The 16,603-nt window shown below is 37.7% G+C and overlaps 1 protein-coding gene across 2 annotated transcripts in view; it reads right to left on the bottom strand.

The window, feature by feature from the left end:
• Positions 1 to 12,241, bottom strand: part of PI15 (peptidase inhibitor 15) — a 30,496-nt gene extending 18,255 nt beyond the window's left edge. The window contains exons 1-2 of one of the 2 annotated variants that reach the window (NM_001324403.2): positions 12,100 to 12,241; positions 11,253 to 11,593 (exon numbers count right to left, since the gene is read on the bottom strand). In NM_001324403.2, coding sequence (NP_001311332.1) covers positions 11,253 to 11,525 — 273 coding nt within the window. In that variant the 5' untranslated portion in view covers positions 11,526 to 11,593; positions 12,100 to 12,241. The remainder of the gene's footprint in view (positions 1 to 11,252; positions 11,594 to 12,099) is intronic. The other variant, NM_015886.5, reaches the window with a different exon arrangement.
• Between the last annotated feature and the right edge of the window lie 4,362 nt (positions 12,242 to 16,603).

Here is a 16,603-nt window from a genome sequence, read left to right as displayed (position 1 = left end):
TGGTCATCACCTTCCTTGGTCTATCAGCAGCTTTTGGCATGCCTGACCACTTACTCTTTCTGAGCACACTTTCATCCCTTGGTTTCATGACCCTACACTTGCCTGTTTTTCTCTGGCTGCTTCTTCTCTATCCCTTTGCTGATTCCTCCTTATCTCCACAACTTCTGTGTGCCGGAAAGTTCCCAGGGCTCAGTCCAAGTCCCTTCTCTTTTTTTTTCCATCCTTGTTTCATTTATATTCACTGCCCAGGTAAACTCATCCAGTCCCACGGATCAAAGCACCAATTATTTGCTGATGGTATTGTTCCAAATTGTATTTCTAGACCCCTCAGTTGAATTTCAGACTAATTTATTCAACTGCGTACTTTTCCAAAATTGAGCTCCAAATATTCACAACCTTACCCCCATTCCTCCAAATCAACTACTCCTTCAGTCTTCCTGGTATCCGTGAATGACAATGCCGTTTCTCTAGTCCAGGAATCAGCTAACTATGGTGGACAGGTCACATCACCTCCACTGCCTGTGACATGTTGTCTATGGTGTTTTCCTGCTACAGAGGCAGAGTTCAGTAGTTGCAACATAAACCATAAGACCTGCAAAGCTGAACATATTTACTATCAGGCCCTTTACAGAAAAAGTTTACTGGTTGCTGTTCTTTATTGCTCAGGCCAAAAATCTAGTCATCTACTCTATTTTTTATAGTCTATATCTGCTCAGTGAGCAAATCTCATTGACCTTACCTTCAAAATACTGTATCTCTAGACTATAACCACTGATCACCACCACCACAGTTACCACCTTGGTCAAAGCCATCATCATTTGTTATCTGGATTATTGAAAGAGACACTAAGGGTGTGCTCAATACAGCCTTAATAGATAAATTAATGAAGGAATACATGAAAGAAAAATAGAATTTTGAGAAAGAGTATTTAAATAGCTTGTTGATTAAAAAAGTCAAGGAATAAAATTTCCAGTGCTCTAAGTCTATGCATCATTAAATGTGCACTGTGAAACCATATTTTGGTTAAGTGCTTTGAAAACAACAAATTTGCTTCTTTTGAAGTTTTCTTAGTCAATAAAGCACTTCCCAAGTAAGGTTCATTCCCTGTTGTGGATATCTATAGCTCACCCATAGTGCTCACATGTTTTCTAGAAGTAGGTGCTGAATGAATAGTCAAGTGAAATTATGTGATAATACGGAAATTATCCCCAGAATAATTTTTGCTTTAACCTATTAATTCTTTCAGTATATAGACAGATAAGTAGATACTTCAACCATATAATATTTTTCTCAACTTGGTTTGGAATCCTGAACCATGATCTTAAAGCACATTTTAGGGTTCTCACCAGGGAAATAACTCTAGAATCTCCCAGGGAACTTTTGAGAAGGCAGATGTCTAGCTCAATCCTGAATCTATCAAATCAAAAATTCAAGGTTGGAGACCTTGAATGTGTACTTGCAAAGTGGTTCTATGTTCACGGAAACTCTAAATGACTTTATTGGTTGAAATACCCAATGTAACACGTGAGAATTGTATGAAACTTTCTGAAAATCCAAAATTTTTAAAAAGATAAAAAAAATTCTAAAGTAAGATTTGAAGGGATGGGGGTAAGGTTGTGAATATCTGGAGCTCAATTTTGGAAAAGTAGGTAGGTGAATAAATTAGTCTAAAATTCAACTGAGAGGCCTATAAATATAATTTGAAACATCATCAGCATATAAGTGGTATTTTAATCCATAAGACTGGATGAGTTTACTGCAGTGAATATAAATGAAACAAAGATGAAAAAAATGAATCCCTTTCCATTATAACAACATCGTCTGCATTTACAACACACATTTATGTGACCTACAAGCAGCTTAGTTCATGAGAATGTGAATCATCAGGAGAATGTGAATCATCAGGAGAATGTGCCCACTGACTCTGCCAAGTTAACTCCACAGAAGTAGAGCAATTGGAGAGTAATTTGTCACATAAATTCTAGGCATCTCATGGTCAGAAGAACACACACATGTTGTAACCCAACCAGAAAGTGCAACCAGTGATGGGAATTCCTTGCTCAGGGCCACACAGCTTCCAGGTCCCAAGATGATCTCACTGTCACTGTTCATGCGTGCATATGTGGAGTAAAAGGCAGGTGGGAGTGCCTTGACTTTCCATTTCCTTAATGATAAACTTCTTACCTTTTCCAGGATCTTCAGAAATCAAATGTATTTGTGTAGCCTTCCCTGACAGCTTATGCTGGCATCATCTGGATGGGAAGGATTGTGTGTGTAGATGTTTAACACAAAGGGTCTTGAGGCTAAGAAGGAGTTTGGTGACTGGATCCACTGAGTCAAGGATCTATGACATATAGGTTTTCTTCCCTCTTAATATACATTCTGAGACTGGATGCTCTAGCCTGTGAGTTTTTCTGTATGATTTCCAAGGGTATAAATAATACAAAGAGAAAGATTTGATTCCACATGAAGAAATTCTTTCTAACATTCAGCAATATCCTCAGATGAAATCCATGTAGGGAAATTCTCTATCCAAAGGGCTCAGAAACAGGAGAGATGAACGCAGGAAGAGGAACAGGTACTTTACGTTGCCATTTAAAGCAGTGCTCCCCAGTGGTTTTGGCACCAGGAACGTTTTGTGGAAGAAAATTCTTCCAGGGAGGAATGTGGGAAGGGATGATTTTGAGATGAAACTGTTCCATCTCAGATCATCAGGCTTTAGAGCATTAGATTCTCCTAAGGAGTGCACAACCTAGATCCTTCTCATGCACAGTTCACAGTAGGGTTCACACTCCTGTGAAAATCTAATCCTGCTACTGATCTGACAGGAGGCGGAGCTCAGGCAGCAATGCTCACTCATCTGCTGCACAGCCCAGTTTCTAACAGGCCACAGATGGGCACTGGTCTGCAGCCTGGGAATTGGGGAGACCCCTGATTTAAAGCATGGGCTTGTTGTCAGATAGAATTGTGTTCTTAACATTTTTATTTACTTGCTCTATGACCTTGGGGAAGTTACTTACGCTCTCCAAACTTAAGATTCTCTATCTCCAAATGAGGAAAATTATCTCATCTCTCAAAACTTGAGAGAGTTAGATGAGATAGTGACTGAAGTGTATGTAGCACAGCTCTAGCAGGGCAAAGGTGTATTTAATGGTGGCTATTATTATTGTTGGAGATTTGGGAATGGTGGTAGAATCAGTCACCTAAAATGAAAAGCAGTGAGGTGCACTTTTGATCACATTATCTGGCAGCCGGAAGTTTAAGAGACATCAAGAATTAATCTCAACTAACCAGGCAATCAGGTAAAGTGAAAATGGATAAACCCTGAAGCAACTAGATAATCAGAAACAGAATTATAAGGAGATTCTAAGGAGCTTGCTTACAGGCAAAAGAAGCTGAAAATTAGAGAACATTTTAGATGTTTTAAAACATATTAATTCATCTCTGTAGATCCCTCTTTAATACATGTTTTAGCTTTAAATTTTAAGACCACTTGTTGATAGAGTCTAACAATCATCCCACTTTCCAGGGAACTATAGTACCCACCAGCTATCATTTAATATTAAAATTATAAGCCAGGAAGAGATTTCTACATGTGTTTAATTGTTTTCACCAACTCAATGGTATATTTTAATAACTAATTTTTAGATTGTTGAACTCTCCTGTGATACTCCTGCAAACCTCATATCTTGCCATTGCCCACTTGGTCAGAAGGATTCAAATGCCTTCCCGCCTACCTACGGCCTGCTGAAAACATGATCTCTCTGGAATGCAGAGAGATAGATTTGGTAGAATGTTCATATTTAACTAAATTATTAAAAGTGAATTTGATGCACTTTTTACTAGAAAACATTATTGTGTCCTTGAGTAACACTTTTGGACTACTTCAGTTTGGAGTATGTGGTGTGAAATTTTAAGAGATTTTATGAGAAGTTTAGTCTTGTTGGGCAACGTGTTGGGCATTCTTCCATATTTGTGTTAAGAAAAATGCTTGGTACCTGATTTCAGATACTATGGATAACATAGACTGGAAGAATTCAAATCCTATCCCTCCAAGCCTCAGTCTAGGTTGCATTTTATGCCAAACATCTTTCTTGACCATTTTAAACTGTTAGTTTATATCTTCTGTGCCCACTTCATACTATTCTTCAGAAATTCTTATAGACAAGCAAATACCTCAAGTTCACAGCTATTTAATGGTAAATGGTTTTCATAAATACTAAATTCATGGCACCATTAAAAAAACAGAGGGGGGTATTTTCTTGCATATTTGTTGAGTAGATTCCCAGGTATAAAATAATGCACCTATGCTGTCTCCACTACACTACCCAACCTCTATGATGCAAAGTGGTTCATTTTGACTACCGAAGGATATACCCATCCAAAATTCTTTGTAGTAGAAGAATGTTCCTTCCCCCACACTAGCTACTTTTTTCAACCTCCAGAGGTGCGTGTCCTGGGTGATAAACCTGCAGCCACTAATGGCTTCCAGAATTCTGCTCTTTATTTTGTGTTCTCTAACTCAGAGAAACTTAATTGTCCTTGTCAAAAACGGAGGCATCCTCCTTGGCTGCCTCATCATATAAATCCTTATTCTACTTCATCATGTAAACCACTTACTCCTATGGATTTGTACCTTACATATTTCACGGTTCTAATTTATGGTTTTTTTATATCCTTATTGCCTTAAACGTAGCTGAGGATACCTAGACTATCCTAACAGCCTCTTGACTGCATCTTTTCTTCACTTCGTTGATTATATAACTTCCCTGCTTGAAACCTTCAATGATTACCCTGGATCTTAAAATGAAATTCGAACAAATGTCTGGGTGCCTTCCTCAACTTCATCAAACATCACTCTTTCTTCTCTACACTAATCCAAGCCTCAATGAGTTTTTATCCATGTCTCGAGTGTACTACATACCCTCTTAGAACATCCTCCTATACCCACTACAGATCCCTCTTTCCTTAACTCACACCTGTATAACTTTATTTATTTTGTATATTTTCTATTTAAAATCATTCCTTCTGGAAGCCTTCCCTACCTTCTTACCCCCACTCCACATCTGAGCTAGGTCTTCCCACAGGATTCCAAAGAACCCTGTATCTATCCTAGTTCAGCATTTAGCACACTGCCTTGCACCTGACTTGTCTGTTCACAGTACTTCCTACCAAAGAGAGTCCCTTTGCTCCCCACTGACTCCCTCAGCACACAGTGCCAGGCACACGAGTAAAAATTATGGAGTAAGTGCTTGAACATTGTACAACTCTTGCCCCCCAGAGCACCACAGTCACACACTAACCAGAAAAAGTTAAAGGACCTCATTTGATTATTCCACAAATAGTTACTGAGTAGTCACTGCATATTCTCTGTGGAGCAGACATGATGCTAGGCTCTATAAATATTCAACAGAAACACAATAAAATTATTTTTCTACAATGTTGCATTTGGTCAAATATCATTTTCCACCAAAAAAACTGTGTCCAATACTCGGAAGTACAGTCACCACCTATGTGGCCTACCTGTGATTCACAGCTTTTCTGCCTGCCACCTGATGCTGAGGTTTCAAATCACATCCTGTTACTGCTTTTACATTTGCATTTTTCAGAACCTATATTGAAAATGGTGACAAACAAAATGTTCTTACCTTTGGCTGGCTCCCTGTGGGGAGAGCGGAACAAAAGGCAAGAACCTTTAAGGTTACTACCTTCTTCAGGCGTATCAAAGTGATAATAAGCAACGTGCACCGTGGAAGAAAATTCCTACAAAATGTGCCCAGTCTCTTTCTGAAGCCAAGACATTGAAAAGATTTTACATCCAGGAGAGCAGGAATGTAGAGTTCTGAATGTGCTGGAGAAAACGCCTCCTGCCAGCAATTGTTCTCAGTACACTGCCTTCTGGCAGAGGCCCTCAGGAGGCCTTCTAGTGGTCACGAAAGCATGCATTGGAGAGGTTTACATTATACACATTAAAATTCTCATGTTTATAGCAAGAACATTGAGTTATCCTTCCCAAATGAGAGGAAATGCGCCTTGTGGGACGGTATATGGCTTTGTTAAAAAAAAGATATATACATGTATATATAAAGATAGATACTACAAGTGTTTAATCAACTACTGAAGAAAGAAAAACAAAAAGTAGTTTACCTTTTCCACATTCTCTTCCACATGAAGCCCAAACAAACAAAATCAGCATTTTTGTTTATTCCCAAGTCATAAATTATCATCCTAGGCAAATAGTTCATGGGCTCTTTTCAAGCATGGATTAATCTGTTCTCCATTCATTCATTTAAGTCATGCTTTCTGTAACTTTACTACCTGCTGTGATTTGGTATCCAGTATTTTTCTTTTTTCCAAAAATGATAGGAAACCTTATATCTGTAGCTCTGCAAATAATATTTGCAGGTATCAAACAAATAAAAGAGATACTGTATTATCAATATAGTTATTTTGGCTTCTTAAAATTACATTACACTTTTTTTTTTCAGTTTTAAGGTGATCAGTTCATTTCCTTCATTATATTCACATTGTCCCTCATCTGCCTTTCCACCACTCCATACCATCTGTGAAGGCTGCCATCTCACCCATGACACTTCAGGGAGTTCTCCTGCCTGCCACTTTATGTTGGAGCAGCTGTGCGGTTCTTCCTTATCTTTGCCTGAAGGATTGGCATTGCTTACTCGGGAGTTACCACCTCTCTGGTCACTTTCACTGCCAATATCAGCTCCATCAACTGCCAGGATCATCTTTCTAAAACGCATCCCTAATCCTTCTCTAAAATCTTCACAGTCTTCCTAATTGCCTTTGGAGTAAGGAATCCTCAACCTTTTCTCAAACTCTTCAAAAATACAGCTCAAGTGTCATGGTTTTTCTCTGCTGGAGATTTTGTTCATGCATTGCTTTGCCTTCTGTAACAGCCAACCTTGACCCTTCCTGGGCATCTATTTCACATGCTCCTCCTCCAAGGAGCCTTTCATGATCTGCCAACTAGAGATTATCGCTCCCTTCTTCAACTCCTCCATGGTATTTTTCTGTACCTCTTTTATTACATCAATCTTATACAGCAGTGTATTATACTGAATTATATCCTTAGTGGAATTTTTTTCCATTTGTTTTGTTTTTACTGCATTGTTTAGACTTTAAAGACAAAAATGTTTGTTTTCTTTGGATCTCTTTCTCTCATAGAGGGACCTCAAAGTTTTTCAAATTAATTTATTCAATTGACTTAAATTCAGAGAACATCCTACAAATTTTACTCTATGTGTGGGTCTTGCAATTTTATTCTTTTGGAGATAATTCTTATTCTAAGAAACTAGTGTGGTTTGTGGTTTAGAGTCATGGTTTAAGCTACCCTCAGGAAGAATAAAAAACAGCTGGTGTGCAAGAAGCTCTGGAAATAGTCAATAAACTAATTGTAGAACAGAAGCCAAGAGTAAAAAAGTTTTACTTGCAAATTTTAAGTTCTATCTATATGGTTTTTTTTAGAATTTAAGAAAAACTTTTTAATTCAGGTGTGGAATCAAATATCATTATAAATGATGACAAAAACTCTGTTAAGACATTTATAATATCAAAATTAATGCTAATTATAAACACATAACAATTCACAAGGATTTCATCTAAATTCAACAAATAATGGTTGATCACTTTCTATACACAAGAAATTGCCCAAGAAAACAGAGATACAAAAATGAATAAATAGACACAGCACCCAGAAAGCTCAAAATTAAAGTTTGCAAGAAATGCACAAAGTAACTGTAAATCACTTCATGAGAGCAAGACATGATAAGAGTAGACAAGAAGGGCTACCACAGCTCAAAACTAGGATAAATCATCTGTGGTCATGGATATTAGAAGCATTCTGGCATCAAAAGCTTGAAGGATAGTATTATAAACAAACTAAGGAAGAGACTTTAGAGGGAAGGAAAATGGAGTGGTAAAAGGCTCAGAGAGTTGTAGGTAAAAGGAATTACAAACTAGGTTGATGCAATTAGAAGCCCTGAGCCAAAGACCATCTTCTGTTAAGTTCCCTTGGGTGATATCACTCACTGAGGAGAAGTTGAACACACAGCTGGTGATCACAGCACATATATCTGTGAGGTATCAAGTGAGGGGTGTCCTAAGTTTCTGAGGTACATAGAACAGGTTAGGAATTCTACTATCTTTCACATGCTCACAATCCAAATCAATGTTGAACAAGTTTAACTAAAGGTAATAGTATCAAACTAAGATCTGCATTTTCCATATAGCCTAGAGAATTCAAGTCACTTATAGTCCCTGCTTCAATCTCCAAGCCACCTACTATACTTACTTCCCTCCAAGTCCCTCTGGGTCTTCATGACGGATTTAGATGAACTCTTCCCAGTGACCAGTTTACTCAAAGAGTCCTTCTAACTTATGATTTCACTCAATTGAGCACATTTTTCTAACTGAACTGATGGATATTCTCCCACCTCCAGACCTTTGTCTAGACTCCTCACTCTTCCTTCACCTTTGAGAGTGGCTCACTCCCTTGCCTGCCTCCAGGCTCTTTCAGTGACTCTTCCTTGAACACTTGTTAAAAATCAAACCCTTACCACAAGCCACTTTGTTTTTCTTCATAACCTTATCATCTTACATCCTGTGTAACTTATTTATTTACCTGGCTTATTGTCTGATTCCCCACCCAGGGAGCCAAAGATGTCTATTTTATTCATGAATGTATCCCCAATTATGTAGCCTAACATATAGTCAATGCTTAACAAATATTAAATATTTAATAAATATTAAATTAGCAAATACAGGTGTGAATGAAGTGTATGCACAGTATTTACATGAGTTTTTGAAACAAGCCCTATTTTACTTTCTAGCACTTACTGTTCTCATTACTTTTACTGAATTAAGGAGCATTTAGAAAGCACCTACTATGTAATCAGCACTGGAGCTAGTTCTTACAAAATAAATCATATATAGTGGTTCTGATATTCAAAAAAATAATAAGAATGGAATAATAAATAGAGCATGGATATTATAGGACTTCAGCTGGCATTTTAAAGAAGGAAAGAAAGATAACTGTACATCTTCAGGGGTCCTGCCATGGGGCATTTCCTCAATGCAGCAAATGAGAAGATGCTCCCCAATAGAAGCATGGGCTTTGAAATTACACAGACCTAAATTCTAATTCCAGCAGTGCCATTCATTATCCTTACCACTTTGGCCTACTCGTTGACATCTGTGGGTCTCAGTGATTTCATTTGTAAAATGAAGATCACAATGTTAACCTCACACGGAGAATGTGAGCTATCAAATGAGATCGTCTATGGAAACAATTAGTCAAGTCCTTGGCATACGGAAGCAATTAAATAAATGCATGTGGAATGAATTAATTCTTGATAAGGGAAAATAGAGCTAGAAAAAATGTGGCTTTTTTCAACCTACTTATACTGTGTTTACCTAACTATGCCTTTCCTCGTGGTGAACGCTCTGACCTCAATAGGATAAAAATAGTGAATTGCATTCTTTGATTGGTTAGTATTGTTATTCTCATTTTACAGATAAATGAATTGGGTCTTAGACACATTAAATAACCTGTGCAAGGCCACAAAGTAAGCAGCAGAGTTAGGATTTGAACCCAGATGAGCTCACCTTCAAAGCTGGCTCAGCAGTCTTGGTTCTCACTTTAGAGTCATGTGATTGCTACAAATTCTCTAAACTCATAGTTGGGATATTATGCCTTTCTGAGCTTGCATGGTATCTTAGGCATATTTATTTCATCATTTTAGTAATTTTAAAAATGTGTTTGCTCATCTAATTTTTACATATTTACATCACCTTCTAAAAACATCTCTTCTGTATGGGTAACTTTTTGTCTTTAGATCTTGAATGAGTTTTCACTGGGCACCTTTCACAAGAAGTTCAAAGAAACCCATCAAAACTAATGTTTGTTGAACATCTAGTTAGCAACAGGCTCTGGTCTGATTACTCGTCAACTCATACATTTCTCACAACAATGCTGTGTGGCAGATACCACCTTTATCTTCATATTAGAGATGATGAAAATGAAACAGTGTGGTAATGAGTTCATTCAGCATATACTTCAGGACTAGGATTCAAACCCAAGCATTTAGATTATATAGCCCATATTCTTAATCATGAGACTATACTGCTCCTCACACACCAGGACTGATTACATCTTCTCTGTCTTTATAAATTCTAGGAAAATGCATTTTCACAGAGTCTAAATTGTACTTCTATGAACTGTGACTCTGTTACATCATTTAGCAAGTCTTTAGTTTTCCTGTGACATTGGCATCTGCAACTAGCCAAACTTTTTAATATAACTTATTTACATAAAACAAGTGAATCTAGAATATGATAAAAATCCCAAATTTTAATTCAGCACATATAAAACTGTTAGTGGTACCCCCTCCCCTCACCCCAATTTGGAAATACCATATTGATGGTCTTCATTGCCTTAAACAGGCTCCAAGCTGTGCTCTTGTAAGACGCTGGACTTTAAATCATAACCTTGCATAAATTCAAAACCAAATAAAAATTTTAACAAGACTTTTTCCTTTCAATACTAACTTTTTTTTTTACTTTCTAAGTAAAATGATTTAAACATTGTCTATTTTTAAGAAAGAGCAAAAAATGTGTTCACGGCAAGTTGGAACAGTGTGCAAATGCACTGGCTTCACTGTTATCTGGACAGCAAAGCATTAAATCACAAGGAGAAAAAAGTCAGCATGTTCTCTTAGAATACAAATAGGTTAGCGTCAGTAAGAACTTTGTCCAAAAAAGGGAAAAGACACCTACCCAGAGAATAAATCATGCATATGAAACCTATAATTTTAAGAAGTATTTTCAAGAAATGATATAGCTGATAAATATGACTGTGAGATAAAGCACAGAAAAAGTTCATGTGACTTTTTTTAAAGTGGACCTTCCAAATGTGATCAGTCAACATACCCCACTTTTTATCTATGATTCTTACATAAGATACAATTCACCAGTAGCTATGGAACTCACAGAAGAAAGTCTACATAGATTCTCTCTATCTGTCTGTCTCTGTCTCTCTGGACCTCTCTGTCTCTCTGATTCTGTGATGCAACAGTACTCAACATTATTAGGCACATAAGAACCTTAGGTTAAAATATGTAAAAAGTCCATATACCCGGACATATAAACACTCGTGGTCGTTTGAGATTCTGCAGATGTACAATATAAAGCTTTCTCACTCAGAACTTAAAAAAAAAAAAAAGAATTCTTCTTACCATATATTCCATATTTGCTGCCGGTGGGAACACTTTGCCCCGAACTTGATTATGATAATCAAGAATGGCGATCATGTCATTCTGCGAAATGTAGCGCTTCCGCCTGGCTTTGGGGATATCCGCTGAATCTAATTGTGCTTTCAGAGCTGCTTCAATATCAGTGAAATTATTGGTTGGCGGGGATGAGTCAGTGGAATTGAGTAGGACGACGGTACTTGCTTCACAGAGAAGGGAGAACAGGAGTGCACTGCTGACGGCAGAGATTGCTATCATTTTGAGGGGTGGAGAAGAAGAGGCCACCGAGTTTACTTTGCTTTAAAGCAGAAAGGTAGAGTTAGGGTCTATGAAAAAAAATAGGGCCAGAGGGTATGAATTTACAAAGACATCATTTGGGAGCATTGCTTGATTTGACTTTCTTCAAAAATCCAAACAAATGTTGAACTCAAGCCTAGGAGATAACCTACAGTAGAATCTCTATTCATTTTTTAGTGTCATGAGGCAGACCCCTAAGAGGAACTTTGTATAGCAGAGAAAAATAAACAGCATGACCACTAACCCTAAAATGAATGTGAACCATTTGCCCCAAATGTCTGAACCACAAAATATATTACTGCATATTTTCAGTGGGAAATTTTCAGCAATTGAAATTCACCTGGAGAGTGAAGAAAAAATGAATCACAGGTAACAACAGAGAATGTGCTGATAATGTCTGCCAGACATATAGACACACCAAGTGATAGAACACATACAAAAAAGTCATAGTAATCCAATCTCATTTCTTTAAAAAAATGTGAGCTACTTTAAAATCAATGCATGCAATATAAACTTGTTGAGCTAAATAGCTTACCTCTGCACAATGCCAAAATGAATATATTGTTCTTCCAAAAATTTAAGGTTCTTTGCTATGTGGTAGCATGAACTCTTGTAAGAGGAGTGTGTCTTTTTACAAACTCTCTGAGAGCAAAGCTCTGCAAGGTTTGAATGCTGCTGGCTAGAGGAGCAGCTAACAGCTTTTATATGTCACAGTTTGCAACGTCCAGAAAGGGCAGTCTTTCTAAGGGTCTCTCTTAGCCAAAATCAAAGGGGAGGGGTTTGGGGTAGAAAAAAACAGTGATTGGGTGGCAACCTTTTTATGTGGGTGGTGAGGAAATTGAGTCACACCCACAGCTTACAAAGTACAAGCCATAAAAGACAAACCCCTTTTTCTCTGGGCTTCCACCTTTTCTGTGAGTAATTTCTCTCATTTTATGCTTTCTAGTTCCTGGTTCCCATACAAAAAAGAAGAAACAAAGACAAAAAAAAAAAAGACTGTGGGTTCATGAAAAAACAGACAGTTGAGTAACAAGCAGTACATTTTTTTAAGACAGTAAATGACATGGGAGCTAAAAAGAACAAGCTGATATTAAATCAAGAGATCAGCTAACATAGTTAATCTGGGTGGCCACAAATATGATTCGAGAGGGATGCCAGGCAAATCGGTAGTAACCAAACTATAGCATATGATATTAGGATAATAGATGCTCAAGTGGCTGTGTTCTCTGCTTCCATGTGGCTGCATTCCTGTGCTTTATATATTTCTTCTTCTCTCTCTTATTTTACCTTCTCTCCCTTTTTTCTTTCTCTACAGAGTGAGGTCAGAAATTACTTGCTTTTTACCTGCCTTGTATAAAATGTGAATAGAGAAGCTCATGGCAAATGACAGCAGCCAAGATAACATCTGTTTCAGGTTTAGAGCATATAGTTGAAATTTTAAGCAGAGAATAGCTCAGCCTCTCAGGAAATGTATTAGAGGGCATAACACAGAGGCCATGAAGAATTTTAACAGCAGCAGCAGCTGCCAACAATTAGAAGTGCCTTGTTAGGAGGATGTCACAGGGGCAAAGTCTATGTCAGGCAAAGCAAGAAGAAGAATGTGAACATTGGTGCTCTATAATGAAAGGACCCTCCCCAAAATGCGTCATGATCTCATTAACAAAATGTGGACCACTTACAGTCAGTAGCAATAGGAATCCTGGAAAACACACGCTCTTCAGTTTAGAAACTTACTTAACTTACACTGATTTTTTCCAGCTTGCTAATGTGATTGTCTCCCACATGTTTCAGCAGAAGAAATACTATGTGAATTTACAGTCATCAGAAATGATGGTCATGTGGCACACTGGACAGGCAGCCAAGTTTCCTAGGATATATTCCCAGTTGGATCACGAGTAGTATGTGTGGTCAAATGCATACTGTTTAACTCTTCATTGGTGCACCTAAAAATGGGAGAGAAAAGATTCACGTTCTATGGTGAGACAGACATCATCAAGTTCTTTAAGAGGGTAGTGAGGTGTACCAGAGGTGTCACTAAAATTCAAACTACAGTGATGAGATACAGACTTTATAATAATATATACCAAAGTCCAGGTTTTGACACATTTTGATGACTATTCAACTCCTAACTAAAGTGAAATCATTTTAGGAGAGCCATAGCTGAAATATTGAGAGCTTTAAACAAGGAATTAATACTAAACTTGAAAAGGCATAAACAGATATATAAACTCAGGAGGTGAGCAAGGATATTATGAAACATTGGAGCAACTAGAGGAAATTCACATGGTTGTTCACAGCTGCAGATCTTAACAAGTGGAGCTGTCCAACTAGGGTTGCACCACTTTGGAAAGTATTCATGGCACCTTCAATGAATCTCAAATATGCTATATTAAGGATTCCTGAATTAAATCAGAGGTTAGATGAGAAACTCTCTGTAGGCCATCCAGCTCTAAGATCTGTGGACTTTTTGAGAAATTAGTGGCAGCACACATTAGCCTTTACTCTCTACATATCTCACACAGTTTCCCAGCTATCTGAGGAACAAAAGGACTTTTAATACCTGAACAGCAGTCATGAGCCTTTCATTCTCCAGGGTGACTGAGTTCTTGCTTAGAACCTCATAAGAATCGAAAGTTATATTTAAGACTACACCCTTTGTCATATACACAAAGAGGTATTGTCCACCTCTTGGGGTTTGACTTGAAAGATTTCCATAGGGATAAAAATGTGATGCTTGACAAACTTGTCTAAACCAAAAATGGATTTCCTCTAAGTGCAGGAAGTGGCTGGATGGAGGAGGAGGAGAAGGAATTTCTGAGATGCATCTAAACAGGAGATCACCTCTGAGTCCAATTACATAAGGGCAGAGCTGATAGTTGCTTAATCCGGAGACCCTGAGGCATGTCAATGATTTCAAATGTCTTTCAGCACACATGGATTATATTGTGGAATTTCGGACTATTAAGGAAACCCACAAGGCTATGGAATCATAAAAGAAAAGACCTGTGGGAGGAGAGTTAAGAATTCTGCTTCCAAGCAGACATTATTGCCAGAAGAAGTATTTGAAATGCTTTGGAGGTAATTGTAATTTTAAAATACTTGCAAAATTAAGAGGCATACATCCAAGTTGTCAGTAAGAGGACTGCTAATGAACAACTAACAATGAGGTGGTTTTTTTTATGAGGACTCTTCTTGAAAAAGACCATTGACATGTTTTGAAACCTTTAGGTCCTGCTTGCCAACAGAGACAGAAATGGAATGTAGTTATATTACTGAGAAGAAATGCATACACATTTGGCAGCATCTTGAAACCTGTGAGAAAATGGTTGTTATTTTAAAATGGAAATCAGATGTAAGCATTCCAGAATGGTACACCTGCTTAAGCAAAGCTACTTTGACGTGTGTGTGTGTGTGTGTGTGTGTGTGTGTGTGTGTGTGTGTGTATGTATGTGTGTATGTGTCACATATGCATTTGACTTTAGTCTAATTCTTTTCTAATTGAAATATGTTCTGTGGACTAGTACCCTTGAGATCACCTGGAAGCTTGTTAGAAATGCAGAATTTCAGGTCCAGCCAAGACCCACTAAATCAGAATCTTCATTTTATCAGGAATCTTGGATGATTCATATGCACATTAAGGTTTGAGAAGTACTATCTAAATCACTATGCTTCCAGAGACACAGAGAGACAATCTACTGCACACATGCCTGAATCAGCTATTGGAAAAGGCGATCTATCTAATAACATGGAGAGAACAAAAGACAATAGAGGTAGGCCCAAGTGTCTTTGAAGTGGAGAACACAAGTCAACCTCTATTTTATATGAAAAAAAAAATGGGCTGGGCACGGTGGCTCACTCCTGTAATCCAAATACTTTGGGAGGCCGAGGCTGGCGGATCACCTGAGGTCAGGAGTTCAAGACCAGCCTGACCAACATGGTGAAACGCCGTCTCTACTAAAAATACAAAAATTAGCCAGGTATGGTGGCAGCGCCTGTAGTCCCAGCTACTCAGGAGGCCGAGGAAGGAGAATTGCTTGAACCTGGAAGGCGGAGTTTGCAATAAGCCAAGATCACACCACTGCACTCCAGCCTGGGTGACAGAGGGAGACTCAGTCTCAAAAAAAAAAAAAAAAAAAAAAAACCAAAAAAAACGGGAAAAGAACACTCAGCATCTTACAAAGAAGTTATTTAGCAGTGGTGAGAACCTTTGCAAGATTACTATGTAAAGCATATTTTTAATTTAATACATATTAATTCATCACAAGATTGCTGAAACAACAAAATGCACTATATGTGAAAGGGCTCATAAACTGTGATGTGGCATATAAATAAAAAGCTATTATTTTATTCTGTCTCCCTAAGACAGAGGCCCAAATCATCCTTTGTTCCTCACTCTCTCACCTTGTTTCATACAATCAATAACTCTGGAAAACGTGTATTTTTAATCTCTGACCTGTTTTGCCAATCTACCCTTTTTATCATCATCATTGTTATTGTGACTGCTTAAAAGTTAATGCCATTATCTTTTTCTAGAATTAGAAGAATCACCTTCTAGCTGATATTTCTTACTCTAGTGACTCTCCTCCTATCCATTATTCACACTGCTTTCAGCTCCCTTCCTATAAAAGAAACTGAATCATTTAACTCATCTACATATAACTCTCTACTGGCTCTCCATTGTCCACAGGGCCAAGTTCAACTGCCTTGACCTGCCTTACAAGAGCCTCGACTATTAACACACAAAGCATATTTTCAAATTTGAGTGCTCTGTGTAATTCACATTATATATTTTAGGATATAAATATATATCATTACATATTTACATATTATATCTATTATACATTTATATAATAAATATATAATTATAAAATGCCAAAATACTGTATTACCAAAATATTTGAGAAATTTTATAAAATATATATGTATTACAATCTATTCCTATGCATGCAGCTTAAATGGGGCTGGAGGATTAACTTCCAGGGTGGCTCATCCACACGACTGGCAACTGAGTGCTTCTGGCAGGAGGCCAGCATACATGG

This window comes from Homo sapiens, chromosome 8 (assembly GCF_000001405.40).
Source record: "Homo sapiens chromosome 8, GRCh38.p14 Primary Assembly".
NCBI lineage: Eukaryota > Metazoa > Chordata > Mammalia > Primates > Hominidae > Homo > Homo sapiens.
This window is presented reverse-complemented; position numbering and strand designations above follow the sequence as displayed.